At 48.1% G+C, this 25,730-nt stretch overlaps 1 protein-coding gene across 7 annotated transcripts in view, besides 3 other annotated features; it reads left to right on the top strand.

Moving 5' to 3' along the window:
• Nucleotides 1-18,251, top strand: part of TCEA3 (transcription elongation factor A3) — a 43,840-nt gene extending 25,589 nt beyond the window's left edge. For 4 of the 7 annotated variants that reach the window (XM_017002201.2, XM_017002202.3, XM_017002200.3 and 1 more), the window contains 6 exons: nt 1,205-1,368; nt 1,559-1,615; nt 5,127-5,281; nt 11,741-11,887; nt 14,743-14,814; nt 15,064-15,730. In XM_017002201.2, the coding sequence (XP_016857690.1) occupies nt 1,205-1,368; nt 1,559-1,615; nt 5,127-5,281; nt 11,741-11,887; nt 14,743-14,814; nt 15,064-15,489 (1,021 nt within the window). In that variant the 3' untranslated portion in view covers nt 15,490-15,730. Of the gene's footprint in view, nt 1-1,204; nt 1,369-1,558; nt 1,616-5,126; nt 5,282-11,740; nt 11,888-14,742; nt 14,815-15,063; nt 15,731-17,628 lie in introns of those variants that run through there. The other 3 variants (NM_003196.3, XM_011542053.4, XM_006710864.3) reach the window with 3 other exon arrangements.
• Nucleotides 15,828-16,044: a silencer, noted in NCBI's record as "fragment chr1:23709609-23709825 (GRCh37/hg19 assembly coordinates)". NCBI's record gives its function as "represses an EF-1alpha promoter that drives an FKBP-Casp9 reporter gene in an ReSE screen in K562 erythroleukemia cells {active_cell/tissue: K562}" and the evidence as "EXISTENCE:reporter gene assay evidence [ECO:0000049][PMID:32094911]".
• Nucleotides 20,906-20,975: an enhancer, noted in NCBI's record as "active region_362". NCBI's record gives its function as "activates an Ori minimal core promoter by ATAC-STARR-seq in GM12878 lymphoblastoid cells {active_cell/tissue: GM12878}" and the evidence as "EXISTENCE:reporter gene assay evidence [ECO:0000049][PMID:35858748]".
• Nucleotides 21,470-21,764: an enhancer, noted in NCBI's record as "tiled region #9848; HepG2 Activating DNase matched - State 1:Tss". NCBI's record gives its function as "activates a minimal TATA promoter and a strong SV40 promoter by Sharpr-MPRA in HepG2 cells {active_cell/tissue: HepG2}" and the evidence as "EXISTENCE:reporter gene assay evidence [ECO:0000049][PMID:27701403]".

Raw genomic sequence — 25,730 nt, 5'->3', positions numbered from 1 at the left:
ATATATATATATATACATATATACATATATATAAACAAAACCTGAATGAGATAATTCTTAGATAGTACATCATAGATTATAGCATAGGTGTTGGCTGGGTGTGGTGGCTCACACCTGTAATCCCAGCACTTTGGGAGGCCAAGGCAGATGGATTGCTTGAGTCCAGGAGTTTTAGATCAGCCTGGGAAACATGGTGAGATCCCATCTCTGCAAAAAAAGGTAAAAATTAGCCAGGCATGATGGCGTGCTCCTGTGGTCCCAGCTCCTTGGAGGCTAAGGTGGGAGGATTGCCTGAGCCCAGGAGGTCAAGGCTGTAGTGAGCCATGACTGCACCACTGCACTCCAGCCTGGGTGACAGAGAGAGAGAGAGAGACCCTGTCTCAAAAAATAAAATAAATTAATAAAAAGAGCATAGATGTTGGAATTAGACAGATGTGGATTCAAATCCTGGTGGTGTATAGCCTTAGGCAAATCTCAGTGGTGTACCTCTCTGGGTTTATTTCCTCGTCTTAAAATAGAGATGATGAGAGTATACCTCCTGGGACTGCTATGAAGATTAAATTGGAAAATTCTTTTAAAGTGCCTGGCACAGTTCTGGCATCTAGCAAAGCCAGCCCTTTTAAATGGTGGTAGATAGTCACTATTCACTAGACTGTAAGCCCCTTAAGGGAAGGAGCTTTGCTGACTTATCTGCATTATCCTTTGTTCTTGACAAGCGCCTGGAGAATAGGTTTGTAATAAATATTTAGTGAATGAGTGAATAAACAGTTCATACATTTAGGAGAGCATAGATAGAGAGCAGCTAGCACAGTGCCTAATCAATTGCATATAATTATTGGTGGTGTTACACTGTTCTATAATGAGTAACGCACAGTGGCTGGTTAAGAGCCGACTGCCTGGGTTTGAATTCTGTTTCTACTGGTTCGTCGATGTGTTATCTGAGCCAAGTGCACCTTTAGATACATCTTTCTCTACCATGCACTTTAAAATGCATCTCTCGAATGGGGATGAGAATAGTATCAACCTCATGGGGTTGTCACGAGGATTAAATGAGATGATCCATGTCAAGTGCCTAAAATAGTACCTACCTCATGAGGTTGTTATGAGGATTATAGGAGATCATCCATCAAGACATCTAGAATGCTGCTCAATAAATGCTTTACTCTCTTAATGTCAAATGTCTGTTACTTATTGTCATCCTCAGATCAAACAGCAGCAAATCAAAAGCGGAGAGCCCCAAAACACCTAGCAGCCCCTTGACCCCCACGTTTGCCTCTTCCATGTGTCTCCTGGCCCCCTGCTATCTCACAGGGGACTCTGTCCGGGACAAGTGTGTGGAGATGCTGTCAGCAGCCCTGAAGGCGGACGGTGAGAGAGCCTGGGCTAGGGATGAGGGAGGGAAGGAGTCCCTTTTCCCAATCTCACTGAGGGCAGATGAAATTCAGTCTTTCTCAGCACCCCAAGGGATGGTACAGGAACACTCTAGTCCCAGGTACAAGCAGGCTTCACTGCCTACGTTGTGTCTGGCTGATACCTGTATTTCTCGAATCTCTTTTAGATGATTACAAGGACTATGGAGTCAACTGTGACAAGATGGCATCAGAAATCGAAGATCATATCCTTGAACTGTGCCGGGGCTGTGGGTGTCTGCACCGTCTAGCAGCACCCATCCAAGGTGCAAGCGAGCTGGGAGAGTGAGGAAGGAGAGGAAGGGCTCCGGGAACAGCCCCTGCTCTGCCCCTGAACCAGAGTTCTTAATTCTATCTAACATTCATTATTATTTTACACCTGCCAGCAAAACTTGAAAATGAGCAGTACCTCATTCAGTGTTGATAACAACCCCACAGTAGGTTCCCTGATTTATCCAGTTTCATGGGTGAAGTCACTAAGACTCAGAGAGGTCAAATCATTTCCCAAAGCCCATACAGCTAACAGTAGTAGCAGAGATGGGATCTGAATCCAGAAATTGTGACCCTGGAACCTGGAGGCTCAGCGGCTGTGCCAGCTAGGCTGTGTAATAGCGTGCCTCAGTTGGCCAAGTCGTTACTTCCAGGAACAGACTAGATTGAGAGGTCAGCATTTCCCATGCTCAGCCTTTTCCCTTCTCCCATCCTCTGATGTTAACAGCGCCCTTTTTTTTTTTTTTTTTTTTTTGAGACGGAGTTTCACTCCTGTTGCCCAGGCTGGAGTGCGATGGCGCAATCTCGCCTCACTGCAACCTACAACTTCTGGGTTCAAGCGATTCTCCTGCCTCAGCCTCTCAAGTAGCTGGAATTACAGGCATGCACCATCACACCTGGTTAATTTTGTACTTTTAGTAGGGATGGGGTTTCACGATGTTGGTCAGGCTGGTCTTGAACTCCTGACCTCAGGTGATGCACCACCCACCTTTGCATCCCAAAGTGCTGGGATTACAGGTGTGAGCCATCACACCCAGCGCCCTGCCCTCTGTTTTTTTACTCCCAAATATATATCAAGCACTGCAATGGCCAATTGACACTTCCTACCTCTGTTAGCTCTCACAGCATTCTCTGTGAGGCAGGGACTGTTCCCATTTTACAGATGAGGAGTCTGAGGCTCAGAACTGTCAAAGCGGGACTGGAGACTTTGTCTTTGGATTCCATGTATTGAATCCTTTCCATGTGCCCCCTGCTCCCCAACTTCTCACCTGAAAGGGGCCTTGTGTAGACAGGAGAGGTGGCCACCACTGGGATGTATTCATAGATCTGTTGCACCAAAAGGTGTTTGGCTTGGGAGAAAAAAAATCCCACCCCACTTGGCCCCCACTGAATGAAAACATGGAGCTTCTTTTACTAGAGACAAAGGTTTGCATGGTATTGGAGCGGGGAGACAGTCAGGGGACAGGAAGTCTAAGTGTCACACCGAGGTGTGAGCGACCCTTTTGAGGGCTCCTGGGTTCTACCTGCGGAGTTCAGCAGGGTCTGTTGAGGAGAGCCAGGGGCCAATCTGCAGACGACAAATTTGCGTTTCCATCTTCTTCCTGTGGCCTACCCTGATTCCCTCCAACTTATTTTCTGGTGGTTTCTCTCTACTCTCATTTAATGATTAATCAGCAATACCTCAACAAGTCTGGAGCCATTCAGCACCTCAAAAAGTACATTTTCATCATTTCCTGTTAATTCAAGAAGGCAGAACACAAGGTATGAGAACTATCACGAGTTTCATCTTCATTTTCTCCTGAACAGTCATCCCTCCAAGCAGGTCCTTTCCACCTTTAAGCCCAGTTTGAAACAACAGCAGATGGTCCAGTACAAAGTTCCACTCCCAGCCTTTCCTCCATCCACTGAAAGTTCCTTTTTTTTTTTTTTTTTGAGATGGAATCTTGCTCTGTTGCCCAGGCTGGAGTGCAGTGGCATGATCTCAGCTCACTGCAACCTCTGCCTTCTGGGTTCAAGTGATTCTGCTGCCTCAGCCTCCCAAGTAGCTGGGATTACAGGTGCCCGCCACCACACCTGGCTAATTTTGTTGTATTTTTTGTAGACATGGGGTTTCACCATGTTGGCCAGGCTGGTCTTGAACTCCTGACCTCAGGTGATCCTCCCTCCTCAGCCTCGTAAAATGCTGGGATTACAGGCGTGAGCCACCACCCCCAGCCTGAATGTCCCTCTTCTAAAGGAGAGGAAATCAAAGCTGCATCAAACACTTTAGCTCTTTGTTTTTAGCCAGCTGGAGGTCAGGGGGAGGGTACATTTGGGGGCTTGACTGCTCTATGTCCTAAAATAGATCTGTCCTCTTTGGAGTGGCCCTGTGCTAACAATGCAGCCAAAAGTTCCTCTGAGGGGCCGGTGCCCCCGGTCTGCTCTCTGCCTCGTCCCCTCTGTGGCCTTGGGACATGGAGACAGAGTCAGAAAGAGGCTGGTGAAAGTATCGCCAGCCCTGCTGGCTCCGCATATCAATACACCCCAGGAATCCCAAGTGGTACATTTTAAAACACATTTTTTGGCTTTCACATGCATTGTGGCATATTCTTTGCTTTTCACACTTTTATTGTACAAACAACATTAAAACAATAACAGAAAAAAGAAAGAATACCACCTCCCCTCCCACCACTTCTAGCAAGTCATCTGTTTTCATTTTTCCACATTCTCCGCAGTCTCTTTATTGTATATGGCTCTTCCCAGCAACAGCTTTGTCTTCCTGATCTTCTTTGGCTCAGGAGACCAAGAAAATGAGGCTGTGTTCCCCGAGCTCCTCCAGAGGGTGGAGGGAGTGGGAGGCTCGGAAGCCTGCCTAGGATGCAGTGTTTGGACAGAAACTCTGTGGTTGGTGGCCAGGGATGACTTCCTGCCGGGTGAGTGGAGAGAGTTACCGTCAGGAGGGGTCTGGCTTCCAGCCCTGTCTCTGCCGGGAATTTGCCTGGTGGCCTTGAGCAAGGTCCTACACCCTTTCTAAGCCCCAGCTTCCTCATCTGTTAATGGGAGAAGTAACTCTGACCAGCAATTCCCAGCGTGGGTTCCATGGGATGGTAACAGGTCTTGTAGGGGAAAGGACAGAGGGGAAGGGGACTCTATAATCAAATTTATTGGGAACACCAGATTAAACAAAGCTCAGTGGTTTCTTTTTTGCAATACTTCGTAGAGCCTTAAACATGTGGCTCTTAATCTTTTCCTCTGACAGCTGGACTCACAACCTCCAGGGGCCCTTCCAAACTAGAAGTTATCCGCATCCTTGTCATCATCTTAGCAGCCCATACATGTTGAGCATTTGATATATCCCAGACACCACACTAGTGCATCACGTGGCTTAGCTCACAGAATCCTTGTATTTTATAAATAAGGAAACTCAGGCGTGTAGAGGTTGTGTGACTCACCTGAGGTCACACAAGAGGCTCAGACAAACCCAGGGTCCTGGTGTCCCTGACACTATAGTGCTTGCTATGATCTGATCTTACCCCAGAAGCTATTTTCTTTCTCTGCTACTTGGCTGACCACAAATGCCCAAGAGACATCACCACTTGGAGAGTCAGAGGTCACAAAAGAGGGGCCCAACTCCTGTAGAAGTCCGAGGAGAGGAAGAAAGGGTTCTGGAGCTCTCAGGCGTCAGGGCCAGGCCTGCACCCTTCTGTGCCCCTCCATGAATGGCTGGCCGGCCCTTGACTGTGTCACATATCTACCAAGAGCTCAAGAGCACGGACATGAAGTACCGGAACCGCGTGCGCAGCCGCATAAGCAACCTCAAGGACCCCAGGAACCCCGGCCTGCGGCGGAACGTGCTCAGTGGGGCCATCTCCGCAGGGCTTATAGCCAAGATGACGGCAGAGGTGAGAGCAGGGCATCTGCATGGTGAGGCAGGAAGCCAGGTCCCCCTAGCCCTGCCTAGTGCAGAGGGTCAGTGGCTCGTGACTCATCAGCAGTGAGCCAGGGAGCTTTTCAAACCAGCCTCATCTCAGCCTCCCCCCTGGGCTCTGGACTAGCAGGATACTGAACACAGCTAATAGGTTCTAAGTGCTGTGCTAAGTGTGTTCAGCGAATTGGCCAAGTTTATGTTCACACCAACTGAGATAGAAAGGTGTATTATCCCCATTCTACAGATGAGGATCCTGAGGCTCAGAGGAGTAAACGAATTTGCCCATGCACACAGCTAGAAAGAGTCGGAGCCAGGAGGCAAGCTGTCTGGCCCCAGCGCTAGGTTGTGTGGCATGTGTGGGGGCTGTACGTGTGGAGTGCGTGTCTATGTGGTACGTATGATGTGTGAGGTGTGTAGAGGGTATATGTGGGGTGTGTGTGTGGTGTGTATATGTGGAGTGCATGTGTGGTATGTATGTGTGTGTATGTATGGAGCATGTGCGTATGGTATATATTAGGGATCCCTAACCCTCAGGCCACCAGCTGGTACCTGTTGGGAACCAGGCCACACAACAGGAGGTGAGCAGTGGGCAAGTGAGCGAAGCTTCATCTGTATTTACAGCCTCTCCCCATCACTCGCATTACTGCCTGAGCTCCGCCTCCTGTCAGATCAGTGACGGCATTAGATTCTCATAGGAGCACGAACCCTATTGTGAACTGTGCATTCGAGGAAACCAAGTTGCATGCTTCTCATGAGAATCTAATGCCTGATGATCTGTCACTGTCTCCCAGCACCCCAAGTGGGAACCATCTAGTTGCAGGAAAACAAGGGATCTCAGGGCTCCCACTAATTCTACATTATGGTGAGTTGGATAATTATTTCATTATATATATCACACTGTAATAATAATAGAAATAAAGTGCACAATAAATGTAATGTACTTGAATCATCCTGAAACCATCCCCCACCCTGTCCATGGAAAAACTGTCTTCCAGGAAACCAGTCCCTGGCGCCAAAAATGTTGGGGACCACTGGTATATATGATGTGTGGAGTGTGGGGGCTGTGTATGTGTGGAGTGGGTGTGTGTGTGGTGTGTATGATGTGTGAGGTGTGTTTGGTGTATAGTATATGTGTGTGGCATGTATGATATGTGGAGTGTGTGTGTGTGATGTGTGGAGTGTGTGTGGTGTGTATGATGTGTGGAGTGTGTGTGTATGATGTGTGGAGTGTGTGTGTGTGTGTATGATGTGTGGAGTGTGTGTGTATGATGTGTGGAGTGTGTGTGTCTGATGTGTGGAGTGTATGTGGCGTGTATGATGTGTGGAATATGTGTGTATGATGTATGGAGTGTGAGTGTGTGATGTGTGGAGTGTGTGGTGTGTATGATGTGTGGAGTGTGTGTGTATTGTGCATGATGTGTGGAGTGTGTGTGTATTGTGCATGATGATGTGTGGAGTGTGTTTTGTGTATGATGTGTGGAGTGTGTGTGTATGATGTGTGGAGTGTGTGTGTATGATGTCATGTGAAGTATGTGTGTGGTGTGTGATTAGCATATGTGTGGCATGTGTGGTTTGTGTATGTGTGGCATGTGGAAGTGTGTGTCTGTGTTATGTAGTGTGTGTATGTACATTCTTCTGAGGAGAGGGTTCACTGCTTTCCTCAAACACCCAAAACAAACAGCAAAGAGCCTTGGCTTTAGGATGAAATGGGGAACTTGGCACAGGTAGACCAGGGTTATCTTTCTGCCTAATTTAAAATATCTGATCTTTTTGGGTAAATAGCAACATATGCCTGGAGTTATAAATTGCAACTTGGCTTTACAGTGTGTCTTTCGTCAGTTCAGACTGCTATAACGAACATCGCCTGGGTAGTTTATAAACAACAGGCATTTATTCCTCACATTTCTTTTTTTTTGTTTGCTTGTTTTTTTGAGATGGAGTCCACTCTTTTGCCCAGGCTGGAGTGTAGTGGCACAATCTGGGCTCACTGCAGCCTCCACCTCCCAGGTTCAAGCGATTCTACTGCCTCAGCCTCCCGAGTAGCTGGGATTACAGGGGTGTGCCACCATGCCCGGCTAATTTTTGTATTTTTAGTAGAGATGGGATTTCACCATGTTGGCCAGGCTGGTCTCAAACTCCTGACCTCAGATAATCCACCTGCCTCAGCCTCCCAAAGTGCTGGGATTACAGGCGTGAACCATGACACCTGGCCTAGTTCTCACATTTCTAGAGATTGGACAGTCCAACATCAGGGCAGCAGCAGATTCAGTGTCTAGTGAGGGCCTGCTTCCTCATAGACAGCCATCTTCTCACTGTAACCTCACATGGTGGAGGGGTCTTTCTCAGGCCCCTATTAGAGGAGCACTAATCCCCTGCACCAGAGCTCTGCCCTTGAGAGCTAATCACCTCCCAAAGACCCCCTAATAACCATTGCCTTGGGGTTAGGATTTCAACAGGCCACGTGAGGTGGCTCATGCCTGTAATCCCAGCACTTTGGGAGGCCGAGGTGGGCAGAACTCCTGAGCTCAGGAGTTCAAGATGGCAAAACCCTGTCTCTACTAAAAATACAAAAATTAGCCGGGCGTGGTGGCACACACCTGTAGTCCCAGCTACTCGGGAGGCTGAGGCAGGAGAATCGCTTGAACCCAGGAGGCAGAGGTTGCAGTGAGCTGAGATCCTCCATCTCAAAAAAAAAAAAAAAAAAGAAAGAAAGAAAGAAAAAAAGAAAAAAAAACAGAAAAATCTTAGCTTGGGCTTGGGCTGCCTGCTGTGAGGGGAAGCGCCCATCAGGAACCCATGTGGACGGTGTCTCTCTCAGAACTCCCTTCCCTGACTCCCTTTTTATGCCTCTTTCCTTGTTTACCTGACTCCCTCATTCTTTCTTCTTCTCTTTTCTTCCCTACTCAGACATAGCAAAGAATGGAGTAGGCTCTGAGATACCCATGAGCGCTGCTGAGTGGACATAGCATCCTGTCAGTCCCCTGAGAACCGGCATTCACAGTCCACCCAGCACTGACAACAGTGTCTGGTACATCACAGGGCTCAACAAATAGGGATAGAATTGTGGTCTCTGACTCTCATTTCCTTCATTTTCCACCTTATTTTCTACAGTGTTGTATTTATTCTCCGTGTCTCTGATGCTGCCTCATTCTAATGAGGCAGGGCAGAGAAGTCAATGAATTGGCGTGTGGCTGGATAGATTTTTCTGTTCTCTATTTCTTAGCTGGCACACAAGACCTTCCTTCCACAATCTGACCTCCAGCCACATCTCCCATGCTTGACTTGAACCTACCCCAAATACTTTTCCCCAAACATGCTATTCTTGTCCTCTGATCTTTTGTGCCTGCTGTTTTTTGTTTTTTGTTTTTTCTTTTGAGATGGAGTCTGGCTGTCACCCAGGCTGGAGTGCAATGGCATAATCTCAGCTCACTGCAACCTCCACCTCCCAGGTTCAAGAGATTCTCCTGCCTCAGCCTCCCAAGTAGTTAGGACTGCAGGCATGCACCTGTAACCATGTAACCATGCCTGGCTAATTTTTCTATTTTTAGTAGAGACGAAGTTTCGCCATGTTGGCCAGGTTGGTCTCAAACTCCTGACCTCAGGTGATCTGCCCGCCTCGGCTTCCTGAAGTGCTGGGATTACATGTGTGAGCCACTGCGCCCGGCCCTGCTGTTTTATTTGTCTGGAATGTGCCACCACCCACCCCAGGAACTCCTATCTTTCAAGACTGGTTAAAGTACTAGCTTCTTCATGACCCACCAGACCCCAAACAGTTAACCACCATACCCTGTTGCTTTCCCCTGCACCTTATATGCCTTCACTTTAGTACTTCCTTCCCTCTCTTGCAATCTCGTGTAAATGCTTGGCTACCCTATCAGATTAGCACTACTTGGGAGGAGGAACCAGATCTTCCTTTCTGAATCCGTTGGACTCAGAGGCAGTAGCATGCTTGAGCTAGCTCCTACCAGCTCAAGGGAGCTGGTGATGTGTAGCTCTTCCCAACTCTGCGTTCAGTTATATCACATTAGCAGCTTGAAATTGGCCATGGAATTTTGTCCCATTGACCATAGCATTTTGTCCCATGGAAGCTGACAAACACTACAAATCAAGGCATCCCCACAACCAAAGCTGGTTTACCTGCAAACTGATACAGTTAAAGGCATTCAGTAAATTGGCATCCAATAGATTTTGTTTTTGTTTTTTGAGACGGAGTCTCACTCTGTCACCCAGGCTGGAGTGCAGTGACGTGATCTCGGCTCACTGCACCCTCCACCTCCCAGGTTCAAGCGATTCTCCTGCCTCAGCCTCCTAAATAGCTGAGATTACAGGCATGCACCACCAATGCCTGGCTTTTTTTTTTTTTTTGATGGAATCTCGCTGTTGTTGCCCAGGCGGGAGTGCAATGGTGCAGTCTCAGCTCACTGCAACTTAAACCTCCCAGGTTCAAGCAATTGTCCTGCTTCAGCCTTCCAAGTAGCTGGGATTACAGGTGCCCGCCACCACACCCAGCTAATTTTTTGTATTTTTAGTACAGATGGGGTTTCACCATGTTGACCTGGCTGGTCTCCAACTCCTGACCTCAGGTGATCCACCTGTCCCAGCCTCCCAAAGTGCTGAGATTACAGGTGTAAGCCACTGCACCTGGCCACATCCAATAAATTTTGAATGGGCAAATGCTTTATGCTCTGGAAAATCCCCTCAAATTAAAGTCAGCTACTTTTTACTCATATGGGTAAATGGCTTTCATTGACTTGTTTTTCTATATTCTCCTGCCATTGGTTAGGGCCTAGCCTTTGAATTTAACACACTAGGACTTAAACATTAATACGTACCAGAATAACTTGAGGACACTAGTGAAAATGCATATTCTGGCCAGGCGCAGTGGCTCATGCCTGTAATCCCGGCACTTCGGGAGTCCAAAGTAGGCAGATCACTTGAGCTCAGGAGACCAGCCTAGGCAACATGGGAAAACCCCATCTCTACAAAAATATACAAAAAATAATTAACCAGGTTTGGTGGTGCATGCTGGGTGTAGTCCCAGCTACTTGGGAGGCTGAGGTGGGAGAATCGTTTGAGCCTGGGGAGGTTGAGGCTGCCATGAGTCACGATCGCACCACTGCACTCCAGCCTAGGTGACAGCAAGATCCTGTCCCAAAAATAACCAAATAAAGAACTTTAAAAAATGCATATTCCTGGGCCTGCCCTTAGCAATTCAGATTCATAGGAATCTGCATTTTATCAAGAAGCCTAAGTGGTTATAATGAAAGGTGAGCACACTAAAATGCTTTGACCTTTATGCCAGCATTCTTCTCCATGGTTTAAGGACTCAGGACAGACAGCAACAATTAAAATGTTTAAGCCAGGCATAGTGGTTCATACCTGTAATCCCAGCACTTTGGAAGGATGAGGTGGGTGGATCACAAGGTCAGGAGATCGAGACCATCCTGGCCAATATGGTGAAACCCCGTCTCTACTAAAAATACAAAAATTAGCTGGGTGTGGTGGCATGAGCCTGTAGTCCCAGCTACTCGGGAGGCTGAGGCAGGAGAATCGCTTGAACCCAGGAGGTGGAGGTTGCAGTGAGCCGAGATCGCACCACTGCACTTCAGCCTGGTGACAGAGCGAGACTCCATCTCAAAAAAAAAAAAAAAAAGTTTAAAATCCTCATTTTGAGATTCGCGTCAGCCACCCTCCTTCCCCTTCCACCAACCCTTAACTGGAGCTCCCTCTCTGCTGTCCTCTGGCAGAGGCTTAAGGGGAGACAAGTGGCCAGGGAGATGGACAGAGAAAGCAAAGGTGTGGGTGATGCAGACCCGGAGTGTCTACTGTGAGCTGGTGGGAGACTGGAGACTCTTCTGTAGAAACTCTCAGAAAAAGATGATCTTGGATGCATGCTCATCAGATGAACAGTTAGTTGTGTGAGCCCAGGAGCTTCAGGATGGGGGTAGCAGCAGCAAGTCATGGGTAGTTGCGCCAAGGTTCCCACTAAGCAGAACAGCAGGGCAGTGATCACAGCGTAAAAGAGCACTGGGTCAAGTCTAGAGAGGAAGGCTAAGGGGAACATCATAGACCAGGTGGCAGTGATCAAGTCAGCTCAAGCAGGAAGGTTCAGGCCAAGGCCAAGGTCCTGGCAGGCAGGATGAGCCCCAGATCTGAAGAAATGTACACAGGAGTGCTCGTCCTCGGGCAGAGGCTGTTTGCCTGCTGCTCACCTGAATGTGCATTATGACCTTCCAGCCGTGGGCGGCAGGAGGACTCTGCGGGGACAGCTTTCTCCCAGCTGGGGCAGGACCCGGAATCCAGGCCTCCTTCCAGCTCCTTGCAGTCAATAAAGCATGTTACCTCCTTTTCTGTTCAGGCTTTCTAGAAACCGGGTGTAGGGCAGGGCCCCTGAAACTCCTCAGCCCTGAAGGGTAGACTCTTTTTTCTCCAGGAAATGGCCAGTGATGAACTGAGGGAGTTGAGGAATGCCATGACCCAGGAGGCCATCCGTGAGCACCAGATGGCCAAGACTGGCGGCACCACCACTGACCTCTTCCAGTGCAGCAAATGCAAGAAGAAGAACTGCACCTATAACCAGGTAAGGACAGTGAGGGGACGGGCCGGAGGTGCAGGAGGCCGCAGGGGCATAGAGGTGGAAAATCAGAGAGAAGCTTAGGGAAGAGCCAGAGGGGAGAAAGCGTTAAAACTCTCTAGGCTTTGCCGGGTGCGGTGGCTCATGTCTGTAATCACAGCACTTTGGGAGGCCAAGGCGAGTGGATCACCTGAGGCCAGGAGTTTGAGACCAGCCTGGCCAACACAGTGAAACCCCATCTCTACTAAAAATACAAAAATGCCGGGCGCGGTGGCTCACGCCTATAATCCCAGCACTTTGGGAGGCCAAGACGGGCGGATCACGAGGTCAGGAGATTGAGACCATCCTGGCAAACACGGTGAAACCCCGTCTCTGCTAAAAATTCAAAAAATTAGCAGGGTGTGGTGGCGGGCACCTGTAGTCCCAGCTACTCAGGAGGCTGAGGCAGGAGAATGGCGTGAACCCGGGAGGTGGAGCTTGCAGTGAACCGAGATCATGCCACTGCACTCCAGCTTGGGCGACAGAGTGAGACTCCATCTGAAAGAAAAAAAAAATTAGCCAGGCATGGTGGCACGTGCCTGTAATCCCAGCTACCCTGGAGGCTGAGGCAGGAGAATCACTGGAACCTGGGAGGTGGAGGCTGCAGTGAGCCGAGATTGCACCACTGTACTCCAGCCTGGGCGACAGAGGGAGACTCTGTCTCAAACCAAACAAACAACAAAAAGAAAACCTCTCTAGGCTGGGCCAGCTCAGTGGCTCACGCCTGTAATCCCAGCACTTTGGGAGGCCGAGGCAGGCAGATTGCTTGAGCCTAGGAGTTTGAGAGCAGCCTGGGCAACGTGGTGAAACGTCATCTCTGCTAAAAATACAAAAATTAGCCAGGCTTGGTAGTGTGTGCCTGTAGTCCCAGCTACTGGATGCGGGGGAAATGGGTGGCGATGAGGCAGGAGAATCACTGGAGCCCAGGAGGTTGAGGCTACAGTGAATTGAGGCTGCAATGAGCTATGATTGCACCACTGCACTCCAGCCTGGGTGACAGAATGAGACCCTGACTCAACAAAACAAAGAAAACCTTAAAAACTCTCCAGGCTGCAGAGAGAAGGGCAAGCCTTGGTACACTAATGTGGTGCACCTGTGGCTTCTAGACAATGTTCCTCTGAGTTTAGAATCATCCCTGCTATGTGTCTACGAGGCTTGGTCAGTGTGTTCTGGTCTGCCCTGACGTGACAATAAGAAGAATCAGACTCATGGCGGCTGAAGAGTCATAGACAGTTGGAAGGGAACTTGGCAATGTGAAACCCAGCTCCCTCATTACACACCCAGGGAAACTGAGGCCCACACAGGCCACAGATGGGCTTTTTAGCCTTGCCCAAGAAAGGAGGCCAATGTCAGAGGTAGTAATAAACAAGATCCACACCATTCTGCCTGCAATCCAGCTAACTTGGTCAATAAAGCCTAAGGGCTTTAGCTCTGAGTCCTAAAGTTGAAGACCATTGCCCTGGCATGGGGAACTTGGGAAGGCTGTGGAGGCCCCTTCTCTTAAAACCAGAGAATGGCCTCCTCTTTCTGGGTTGCACATGGTATGCCCTTAGAGCACAAATATCCTTGGATTCTAACTGGTGTCTAGTCATTCTAGAACTCTATTCAGAGTTCTCCGTCTGTTCGGCACACACCATTTATCAAGAGCACCTTGCCTGCGGCATTCTGTGGCCAGGGCAGAAATGCAGTCAGCCTTGCCATTCCGGAGGAGTCCCTTGGAGAATTCCAGTTCTGGAATCCGGAGATGTTTGTGCAAGCTTCTGCTCTCTCCCAAGCACCTTTCCGTGTGGAGTGATGCGCTTCCTGTGCCTCACTTCTTTCTAGAAGTAAACTGCCCACTAGCAAAGTTTTCTCTCTGCTCGTCACTGCTTTCCAGTGACCAGGCTGCGCTAAGCTGTGTCCGCCTGGCAGACTGCTGGGCTGCTGGGGCTCACCCAAGGAGGGTGGCGGGCATAACTCGTCCCACACCACAGATTCCCAGCTGACATCATTCGTAGCTGATTGTCAGCAAAGTAATGACTTGCTACATGTCGTGGCCAGCCAAGGACAGCCTTAGAAAACCAGAACAGGAGCTGTTAAACCTGGAAATGCCAGGGCTTTACTGTGGGATACCCGGTTCCTGCACCTGAATGATGAGGCTAAGAGGATGAGAAAATGTAACATTAAATAGTCCCAATGATATTTAGGACTTTCCCTCTCTGGGCCTCAGGTCTTCCACCAGTAAAATAAGGAAGATGAACTAGACCGCTAAGCCTGCTTGCAGCTCACTCCTGTGAACTTGTCCAGTAGGATGTGTTCAGGGGTGAGTCAGGGAATACTTCCTGTAGGAGATAAGTCTTGAGGCAAGAGAAGAGAGGTCTGTTACAAAAGATCAACAAGAGTGACCAACAAGAGTGAAAGTCCAAATTAGCCGGGCGTGGTGGCGGGCGCCTGTAATCCCAGCTATTCAGGAGGCTGAGGCAGGAGAATTGCTTGAACCCAGGAGGTGGAGGTTGCAGTGAGCCGAGATGGCACCACTGCACTCCAGTCTGGGCAACAGAGCGAGACTCCACTGTCAAAAAAAAAAAAAAAAAAAAAGCGGAAGTGCAAAAGGCCAGGTTAAGCCAGTAAGATACTGGGAGTGAGCTGATGGACTGCCTGCCAGAGGAGAGGAAAGCATAATACTAATATTATGGAGTTGTCAGTGATAAGGAAATTGCCAGCGGGGGGTGGGAATCTCAGTGCCAACCTCTGGGATTTGGACCTACTCCTAAAGACAGTGGGAGCCATGGCAGGTCCTAGAACAGGGGAGTGACTTCATGAGTGGTTCTTCTCTCTCTCAGGTGCAGACACGCAGTGCTGATGAGCCCATGACTACCTTTGTCTTATGCAATGAATGTGGCAATCGCTGGAAGGTCTGTATGTTTATGTATTTCCCCCTTCCCTGTTATCCACATACCTCGCCCGCATAAGGCGTAGTGTACCCACAACCCAGAAGGGGCCTTGTGCATGGCAGCACTTGCCAGCCTGCACAGAGTAGGTCTGCAGAGCCAGAGATAGTGGCGGATTGCTGTTGGGGAGGTGGGGAGAGAACACACATGCATGTTTTCATTTTAGAAGGGCACCAAGCTGGGGTGGGGGCAGCAGCCCACATTTTATCACAGGATGAGCAAGTCTGTCATTTGAGCACAGATGGAATCGGCTTCCTGAGATCCACAGAGGAGAGGAAAAACATTCTGCACTTGGACCACGCCTCTTTGGAAAGTGCTTCCACAGATGGTATTTCCTTTGAACCTGGCCACAGCCAAGGATGGGAAACAGGAAGGCTGAGCCCTGTCAGAAAGGAGTTGAACCTAAATGCCACCAGGCCATCCTTCCCTCCTAAGGAAGCTCTGAAAGTCTTACCCAAGTCTGTAACTCAGACTGCCCCAGCTCCTGCAAAGGCAGAAGTTTTGTTTTCACGCATGGGAGCCAAACAAAGACTCCTCCCAGAGTGCTCCTTCCTGCCAAGTCTCCTGAAGGAACAGAGTGTGGTCACGTGCCTATTGTCAGTTTCCAACTGCTCTCTGACTTGCATGTGCACCATGTGATGTCTGGGCCACCAGGCAGGCTGCAGGTGCTCCAAAAGTTCTAAGGTACTTAGCAAGAAGTACAAGATAAGTCAGGATCCCTGGTTTCAGGTCCCATTCTGCCCTACTCATGCTGAGCATGTTACTCACCTCATTGAGCAAAAGAGTAATAATAATGCCTTTCTCCCAGGTTTGATGATGTGAGGATCATTTTGATATGAGGGTTATCATGTATGCATAAACACTTTGCAAACAACTACAAGAATTGTTCCTTTATAATGTTATTCTTACTTTCAGACAAGGAAATTGAAATACAGAAATAGTTAATAAGCATAAAGCCACAGTTTGGAGCACTGAAAGCCGATGCTCCGACTTCCTGATCAATTCTTTTACTTTTTTTTTTTTTTTTTTTGAGATGGAGTCTCGCTCTGTTGCCCAGGCTGGAGTGCAGTGGTGTGATCTCTGCTCACTGCAAGCTCCACCCCCCAGGTTCACACCATTCTCCTGCCTCAGCCTCCTGAGTAGCTGGGACTAAAGGCGCCGGCCACCACACCCGGCTAATTTTTTTGTATTTTTAGTAGAGACGGGGTTTCACCGTGTTAGCCAGGATGGTCTTGATCTCCTGACCTCGTGATCCGCCCGCCTCGGCCTCCCAAAGTGCTGGGATTACAGGCGTGAGCCGCCGCGCCCGGCCTCTAATTATTTTTCTTACTAAGGACCTCAGTAGCCCTTACTGGGGCCTCATTAGAACTGCCATATTTTTTAAGGTAAAAACCAGATGATTATGTATTTTTTCCTTTTTTCACTTATTGAGCACTTAGGGATGGGGCCAGTATAGTGGCCTACTGGTTTAGAGCATGGGCTTTGGCATCAGGCTCAAATCCTAGCTTTATCCCTTACCAAGTGACTTAACTCAGTGACCTGAACTCACTAAGCCTGGATTTCCTCATCTATAAAATGAGGGTATTCATATCTAGCCCACAGAGCTGTTTTGAGGAGTAGAGAAGGTAACACACATAAAGCATTAACAGAGCCTCTGAGAGCTCATATGGCATCTTTGTCAAATTAGAAAAAGGTGTCCCTTCCTCCAGGCGGCACAGCCTCATGCCAGGGTACGGAGCAAACAGAGCAGGGGCTACGTTTCAGCCTCAGCTTGCCCCTTTGGCCAGGCTCTTTTGTGCAGTCAACAAATTATACAACCATACAAAAAAAGCCCTGAGTACAGACATGCCTGGTACATAAAACCACTATTCTTACTATTTTGGGTATGTCATCTACTAGTATTACGGGAGTTTGGGCAAGTCACTTAACCTCTCTGATCTGCTTCCTTACCTGTAAAAATAGGAGTGATAGGCCAGGCGCAGTGGCTCGTGCCTGTAATTCCAGCACTTTGGGAGGCCGGTGGATCACCTGAGGTCGGGAGTTTGAGACCAGCCTGACCAACATGGAGAAACCCCGTCTCTACTAAAAATACAAAATTAGCCAGGCGTGGTGACACATGCCTGTAATCCCAGCTACTCGGGAGGCTGAGGCAGGAGACTCGCTTGAACTCAGGAGGCGGAGATTGCGGTGAGCCAAGATCATGCCATTGCACTCCAGCCTGGGTGACAAGTGAAACTCCGTTTCAAAAAAAAAAAAAAAATTGGGAGTGATATTAGTGCCTATCTCAGAGTGATTGTAAGGGTGAAATGAGTTAATACATGTTAATACTGCCTAGCACAGAATAAATGCTCAATAAATGTAGCTCTTGTGATTTTGTTACTGTTAGAGAAAGGACATTCTGAATGCTTTAAATCCAGCTCCTCTTCCTTGACTCTTACTAGTTGGAGGGACAGGATCCACTAGAGGTAACAACTACAGACTTCTGAACACATTTTCAGTTGGTCTCCGTTGCCATGTGGGAGACCAAAAGTCTAACCAAGTGATTAGTAGCCATCCCAGTGATGTTCTTGACCATAAATTGAGAGCTCAGCACATTCCTGGCACCGAATTGCCATTCATTTATTACCTGATATCATTCTCACATTCACAAGCTTTATGAGCTCATTTTACAGGTGAGTGATTTGTTCAAGATCACACAGCTAATAATGGCAGAGCTGGGCTTTGGACTCTGGTCTGTGTGGCTCCAGACACCACCTTCTTTTTCATATTCCCCCACAGCCTCCTTGGAGGATGCCGAGAAACCTTTCAAATTTTGTTGCCTTTCTGGTTTTGTAGTTCTGCTGATGGAACAGCCAGCCATGAACAAGGTGAGGAAGAAGAAAGAGGAAGCGCTGAATTATCTGAACTGGAGAAGCAATAAAAATTAAAGTGAAGGAAAATACTGAACTCTGTCTGAGTGGGATGGTATGAGTTAGAGGAAGAATTCTCTTGCAAATTAATAATCGGTCATTAGAAACAATTGGTTAATGGGGGAGCCTAATTGGAGAATGATGCTGAGAATTTGTATTGATGAACCTCTTTTAGAAACTGCAGAGGGCTGGGCACGGTGGTTTATGGCTGTAATCTGCAAACTCTGGGAGGCTGAGGTGGGAGAATCGCTTAACCCCAGAAGTTTGAGTCCAGCCCAGGCAACACAGCAAGACCCCATCTCTATAAAAAGAAAAAATAAAGAAACTGCAGCGCCTTAGACCTGAGGTGTCATATCTTTGACAGTGGGCTGGCAGACGTTTGCTTTGAGTTCCTTCTCTCCCATCTGGATCTCCCAGCCTTTTCCAAATTGAAAAATGCCAGATCAACACAAACCTTACCCCACCCCCACCTCCGAGTCACACGTGCAGAACTGTTGATACACCATTTGGCTTCAGCAGATATTACTTCCATACTACGTATTAGGTTGCTGCAAAAGTAATTGTGGTTTTTGCAGTTACTTTTGCAGTGGCCTAATAGAAATATTTCTTCCCTACTCTTTCCTCATCTCTTCCCAAACTCTCTGCTATTCCCTGTTCACAGCTGGCTGTGGGGGCCTTTGAGGACTCCAGATCATATCCCTCTAGGCAGGGAACAGATCCTCTTGAGCTGGGCTTTCTGAGTGGGCTTTCTTGAGTGGGCTTTCTGAAGATTACAGCAGCACTCTGACTTCCATGGCCCTTTGAAAGTCCTGAGCCTCAGAACCTGCCCAGGCCCTAGCAATGTGTCCCTCACAGCTCCATCTGTGACCTGAGCTTCAGAACACATCTGCAGAGCACAGAGACCTTGCCGTGCTTCTCCCATGATAATTATTGGCTTGCTTTTTTTGTTTGTTTGTTTTGTTTTGTTTTGTTTTTTTAGAGGCTGGAATGCAGTGGTGTGATCTTGGCTCACTGCAATTTCCACCTCCCAGGTTCAAGCAATTCTCCTGCCTCAGCCTCCTAAGTAGCTGGGACTACAGGCATAAGCCACCAAACCCGGCTAATTTTTTGTATTTTTAGTAGAGACGGGTTTTCGCCCTGTTGGCCAGGCTAGTCTCAAATTCCTGGGCTCAAGTGATCCACCCTCCTCGGCCTCCCAGAGTGCTGGGATTATAGGTGTGAGCCACTGCACCTGGCCTCGGCTTGCTTTTGATGCTGACAGGAACTTTCAGCAAAGCTGGAAACTTCTAGAAAAGCCTTGGGGAAGCTGTTGGGGCAACTATAACCCAAGTTCCTCATATACCCTGGATATCATTTACTCTAGAATTGGTTACTGTCTTCTTCCTTCCATCCATAAGTGCCTTCTCCTGTAGATGAAGCCCGGAAATAAACTAGGTACAGGAGTCTTCCACCTTCTTTGACTTTTATTTATTTTTATTTATTTATTTATTTTTGAGACAGGGTCTCTCTCTGTCACCCAGACTGGAGTGCAGCGGTGCAATCTTGGCTCACCGCAACCTCTGCCTCCCAGGCTCAAGTGATCCTCCTGCCTCAGCCTCTTGAGTAGCTGGGATTACAGGCACGCACAACTACCACCTGGCTAGTTTTTGTATTTTTATTAGAGACAGGGTTTCACCATGTTGGCCAGGCTAGTCTTGAATTCCTGACCTCAAATGATCCGCCCACTTTGGCCTCCCAAAGTGCTGGGATTACAAGCATAAGCCACTGTGCCCGGCCCCATCTTTGACTTTTTTTTTTTTTTTCTGAGACAGAGTTTCACTCTTGTTGCCCAGGGTGGAGTGAAATGGCACGATTTTGGCTCACTGCAACCTCCACCTCCTGAGTTCAAGAGATTCTCCTGCCTCAGCCTCCTGAGTAGCTGGGATTACAGGTGCCCACCACCACACCCGGCTAATTTTTTTTGTATTTTTAGTAGAAATGGGGTTTCACCATGTCGGCCAGGCTGGTCTCGAACTCCTGATCTCAGGTGATCCACCCACCTTGGCCTCCCAAAATGCTGGGATTGCAGGCGTGAGCCACCGCGCCTGGCCTGTCTCTGACTTTTAAACAGTTAGATTTGGGGTGAATCCCTTTCTTGGAAAGATCGAAAATCCTCTCACAGATGATACAACACAAAGAGCTCATAAATGGCAGAGCCAGGACAGAAACCCAGGTCTTCTGCTTCCTGTCATTGTGCTATAAGAGATCCAGAGCTATACACAGCGCTCAGCCCTTACCTTCCAGGAAGTCACAGCCTGGCAGGGAAAGAAACCATAGGCACAGATTTCCACACCAGACGGGATGCGATAAATGCCACATACATCTGAGGGACCAACATTATCCACAGACGTGCAGGGGGATGTTGCTGAGAAACCCAGATGTTTCTTAAACTTTAATATAGGTGAGAATTCACTGGGCATTGTGCTGAAATGCAGATTCCAATTCAATGGGTCTGGGGTGGGCCTTGAGATTGTTCAATTCTTTCTTTCTTTTTTTCTTTTTCTTTTTTTTTTTTTTTAAGACAGGGTCTCACTCTGTTGCCCAGACTGGAGTGCAGTAATGCCATCATGGCTCACTGCAGACTTGACCTTCTAGGCTCAGGCGATCCTTCCACCTCAGCTGCTGGAGTAGCTGAGACTATAGGCATGCACCACCACGCCTGGCTAATTTTTTATTTTTTATAGAGATGGGGTCTCCCTATGTAGTCGAGGCTGGTCTCAAACTCCTGGGCTCAAGCAATCCTCCTGCCTCAGCCTCCCAAAGCGCTGGGATTATAGGCATGAGCCACCGCACCCAGCTGATTTTTCATTTCTAACCCCAATGCAGCTGGTCCACAGACCACACTTTGAGTAGGAAGGCCTTAGATGTCCAGATTTTTCTCTGTATTATGTAATCCTCCATCCAAATGTCTAGAAACCAAAAGCAGAACAAAAAGCAACCACTGTCAATTTAATAAGGCCAATAAAGGTTACTTTCGGGTGAGTTTTTTGTTTTGTTTGGTTTTGTTTTGAGACAGAGTCTTGCTCTGTCGCCCAGGCTGGCGCAATCTCGGCTCACTGCAACCTCCACCTCCCGGGTTCAAGACATTCTCCTGCCTCAGCCTCCCAAGTACTAGAACCCCAGTACTGGAACCACCACACCCGGCTAATTTTTGTGCTTTTAATAGAGATGGGGTTTCACCATGTTGGCCAGGCTGGTCTCAAACTCCTGACCTCAGGTGATCCGCCCGTCTCAGCCTCCCAAAGTGCTAGGATTACAGGTGTGAACCACCACGCCTGGCCTTGAGTGAGGTTTTTTTTTTTGAGACAGAGTCTTGCACTGTCGCCCAGGCTGGAGTACAGCGGTGTGATCTCGGCTCACTGTAACCTCCACCTCCCGGGTTCAAGCAATTCTCCTGCCTCAGCCTCCTGGGTAGTTGAGATTACAGGCACCTGCCACCACGCCTGGTTAATTTTTTTTTTTTTTTGTATTTTTGTATTTTTAGTAGAGACGGGGTTTCACCATGTTGGTCAGGCTGGTCTCGAACTCCTGACCTCATGATCCGCCCGCCTCAGCCTCCCAAAGTGCTGGGATTACAGGCGTAAGCCACTGCGTCCGGCCAACCTTGGGTGAGTTTTATAAACGCGGCACCTTGGGGCAATTTTCAGTAGTCACAATCTAAATAACTGTTGTGTTTCCTGTGTCATAGCATAGGGATTTAGAGCATAGAAAAAAAAAAAAGAAAACTAATCTTCACCCTCAATAACCTTACTGTTTACAAAGGAGATGAGTCAGATTAAACAGCAAAAGAACAAGTCAGCTCAAGTCCACACATCTATACAGTATACATCCACATTCACAAAAGGACACAAAAGAGTATGAATAGGCCACAGACTGTCATCAGCAGGCGGCAAAACCCTCACTGCGGGCCTTCCCGTGTCCACTCCGGATCCAACTGACCAGAACAGGCTTTTCCACATTGTAAAACTGATCCTTAGAATCCTCCACTCTACACCCCCATTTAAAACCTTTCCTTTTTTCCCCCCTACTGCTCTTGGCAAGGTCTACAGGGCCCTGCAGCGCGGGCCTGTACCTCGCCCCCGCACTTTGTGCTGCAATCACACTGGCCTTCTCTCAGTTCTTCACGACATGCTGTGCTCCTCCTTGTCACAGAGTCTTTCCACATGCTGTTGGCTGGAACAAGTGGTTTAACCCCATCTCCTTCATAACCAAAGATGAAGAAGGTGCGAGCTACAAGGAGTTAGCATTCACCTCTGCCACCCAGGAGGGCTTCCTAGGGGAGGGGAGGTGGTTACCATACTGGAGGAAAAAGACAAGGTCAAATGAGGTAAAACAGGCAACACGCTTGGAATGAAAGAGCTCACCAGAATGTTATGGCCAAAAGAACTTGAAAATAGGCTGGCTGCGGTGGCTCACGCCTGTAATCCCAGCACTTTAGGAGGCCAAGGTGGGCGGATCACTTGAGGTCAGGAGTTCGAGACCAGCCTGGCCAACATGGTGAAAACCCATCCCTATTAAAAATACAAAAAAAAAAAAAAAAAAATAGCTGGGCATGGTGGCACACGCCTGTAATCCCAGCTACTCTGGAGGCTGAGGCAGAAGAATCACTTGAACCCAGAAAGCAGAGGTTGCAGTGAGCCGAGATTGCCACTGCACTCCAGCCTGGACGACAAGAGTGAGACTCTACCTCAAAAAAAAAAAAAAAAAAAAAACTTGAAAATGGAAGAATGGAGGGTCGTTGAAGATCCTATGGCCAATTTGGGTGTTTTAAAAAGGTTCCAGGAACCTAAAATACTGTATAGGATGAGAAGTCTTTCTTAGTATTTTCATCCAGACTACCAAATCTCTTATTAGCCTCGTTTTTTCTTTAGCTCAAGACTTACATTGCCAAGTGCCTATTTGGATATCTCCTCGCAAGCACCCCACTGACCCTCTCAATGCTATAATACAGTTAATCTGAAATTGAACTCACATCTCTGTTTTTTAATTTAAAAATATTTTTTTGAGATAGGGTCTCATCCCGTCACCTAGGCTGGAAAGCAGTGGTGCAATCACAGTTCACCGAAGTCTTGATGTTTCAGGATCAAGTGATCCTCCCGCCTTTGCCTCCCAAGTAGCTAGAACCACAGGTGTGCACCACCACCCCCCACTAATTTTTTTTATTTGTAGAGATGAGATCTCGCTGTGTTTTCCAGGCTGGTCTTGAACTCTTGTGCTCAAGTGATCCTCCCACCTCAGCCTCCCAAAGTGCTGGGATTACAGGTGTGAGCCACCATACCCCGACATTGTTTGTTTGTTTGTTTTTTGAGAGACAGGGTCTGACTCTGTTGCCTGGGCTAGAGTGCAGTGGTGTGATCATAGCTCACTGCAGTCTTGAACTCCTAGGCTTAAGTGATCCTCCCACCTCAGCTTCCTGAGTAGCTGGGACTACAGGCACATGCCACCACATCTGGCTAATTTTTTTTTTTTTTGTCAGGCACAGTGGCTCATGCCTGTAATCCCAGCATTTTGGGAGGCCAAGGCGGGCAGATCACCTGAGATCAGAAGTTCGAGACCAGCCTGGCCAACATGTACTAAACATCTACTAAACATACAAAAATTATCCAGACGCAGTGTCGCATGCCTGTAATCCCAGCTACTCAGAAGGCTGAGGCACAAGAATCGCTTGAACCTGGGAGGTGGAGGTTGCAGTACAGCGCCACTGCACTTCAATCTGGGTGACAGAGTAAGAATCCGTCTCAAAAAAAAAATTTTTTTTGTAGAGATGGGCATGCGAGGGGGGTCTCCCTATGTTACCAAGCCTGGTCTCCAACTCCTGACTGACCTCAAGCGATCCTCCCACCTGGGCCTCCCAAAGTGTTGAGATTACAGGCGTGAGCCACTGCACCCCATGCATCTTTTCTTTCTTTGGTCCCCTCTTCTGTCTTTCCTATTTGTCAGATAATTCATTCCTTAAAACCATCTGTGACTCTTTCCCCTTGTCCTCTTCTCTTATTTCCCAATTCTATAGTCTCTCCCTTGACCAACCCTTATCTCCATTCCCATCACTGTCAACATGGCCTTTCAGGTTTCCTTTTTTCTTTTTCTTTTTTCTTTTCTTTTTTTTTTTCTTTTTTGAGATGGAGTCTCTCTCTGTCACCCAGGCTGGAGTGCAGTGGCGCGATCTCTGCTCACTGCAAGCTCTGCCTCCTGGGTTCATGCCATTATCCTGCCTCAGCCTCCTGAGTAGCTGGGACTACAGGCACCCTCCATCACGCCTGGCTAATTTTTTGTATTTTTAGTAGAGACGGGGTTTCACCGTGTTAGCCAGGATGGTCTTGATCTCCTGACCTTGTGATCCGCCTGCCTTGGCCTTCCAAAGTGCTGGGATTACAGGCATGAGCCACTGCACCCGGCCCAGGTTTTTTTTTTTTCTAGGACTGGTGCAAAGGTCTTCTACTGATCCTCCAACTCAGAGCACTATCTTCCCTGCATCTACCCTGCCTGACTCTGAGCATCATTCCTTGTCTTCAGCAGGTTCCACCAGCTATCAAAATTCAACTATTTGGTTTGATTTTCAAAGCTCTATCTGCCCTCTGCCTTTTCTGGGGGTGGCGAGGGGGCCTAGAGGCTTTTATGTCTGACTGTGCCGATGGGCCCTGTCACGCGCGTCCGTCTGAAGAGACTACCAAACAGGCTTTGTGTGAGCAACAAGTCTGTTTATTTCACCTGGGTGCAGGCGGGCTGAGTCCGAAAAGAGAGTCAGTGAAGGGAGATAGGGGTGGGGCCGTTGTATAGGATTTGGGTAGGTAATGGAAAATTACAGTCAAAGGGGGTTGTTCTCTGCAGGGGGAAGGGTGGGGGACACAAGGTGCTCAGTGGGGGAGCTTCTGAGCCAGGAGAAGGAATTTCACAAGGTAATGTCATTAGTTAAGGCAGGAACCAGCCATTTTCACTTCTTTTGTGATTCTTCAGTTACTTCAGGCCATCTGGATGTATACGTGCAGGCTTGGGCTCAGAGGCCTGACAGGCCCTTGCCCTCTGCTTGGCTTTGGTGGTTCATCGTCCACCTCTGCTGTCCCTTATGCTCCAGGCTAAAGGAGATATTTGCCCTGTGTTTGAATACCCAATGGGCCTTCCCATTTGTGAATACCTATACTGCTTCCTTCTCCTCAGCCAGATCCAAATCTTATCCATTCTTCAAGGCTCACCTCAGATGCACATCTTCTTATGAGGTCTCCGATCCCCTAGCAACATGAGATGGTTCCTCAGAACTCCCATAGCATCGTGAAATTCTCTTAGCACACATTGCATTCAACCTTCATGATGATGATTCCTTTAAAATTTCTTTGTATGACAGTGTCAGTAATATCTATTAATCATTGAGCATTTACTAGCTGGATATCTTGGGCACATTATACAACTTCTGCATGCTTCTGGTTTCATCGGTTAAACAGTGGTAATAACAGCTCCTAGCTCAAAGGGTTGTTGTGAGGATTCATTTAGTTAATACAAAGAGAGCAGCAGAATCAGGCCTGACACATAGTGACTGATTAGTAAATATTAGCTATTGTTACTATGAGTGCAGGGTAGCACATTACATTGATTGCCTCAGTGAGCCCTCTGACCTCATGAACTAGGTTACTATTATTATACTGTTTTTTAAAAATTGTAGTAAACTACACATGACATAAACCACCTTAGCAGTTTTTTAAAAATCTATTTTGAGACAGTCTCTCTCTGTTGCCCAGACTGGAGAGCAGTGGCGCGATCTCGGCTCATTACAACCTCTGCCTCGTGGGTTCAAGTGATTCTTGTGCCTTAGCCTTCTAAGCAGCTGAGATTACAGGTGCATACCACCAGACCTAGCTAACTTTCATATTTTTAGTAGAGACGGGGTTTCAACACCTTGGCCAGGCTGGTCTGGAACTCCTGGCTTCATGTGACCCACCC

Source organism: Homo sapiens, chromosome 1 (assembly GCF_000001405.40).
Source record: "Homo sapiens chromosome 1, GRCh38.p14 Primary Assembly".
Taxonomy (NCBI): Eukaryota; Metazoa; Chordata; class Mammalia; order Primates; family Hominidae; genus Homo; species Homo sapiens.
Note: the sequence above shows the minus strand (reverse complement) of the source record. Positions and strands in the feature narration are given on the sequence as shown.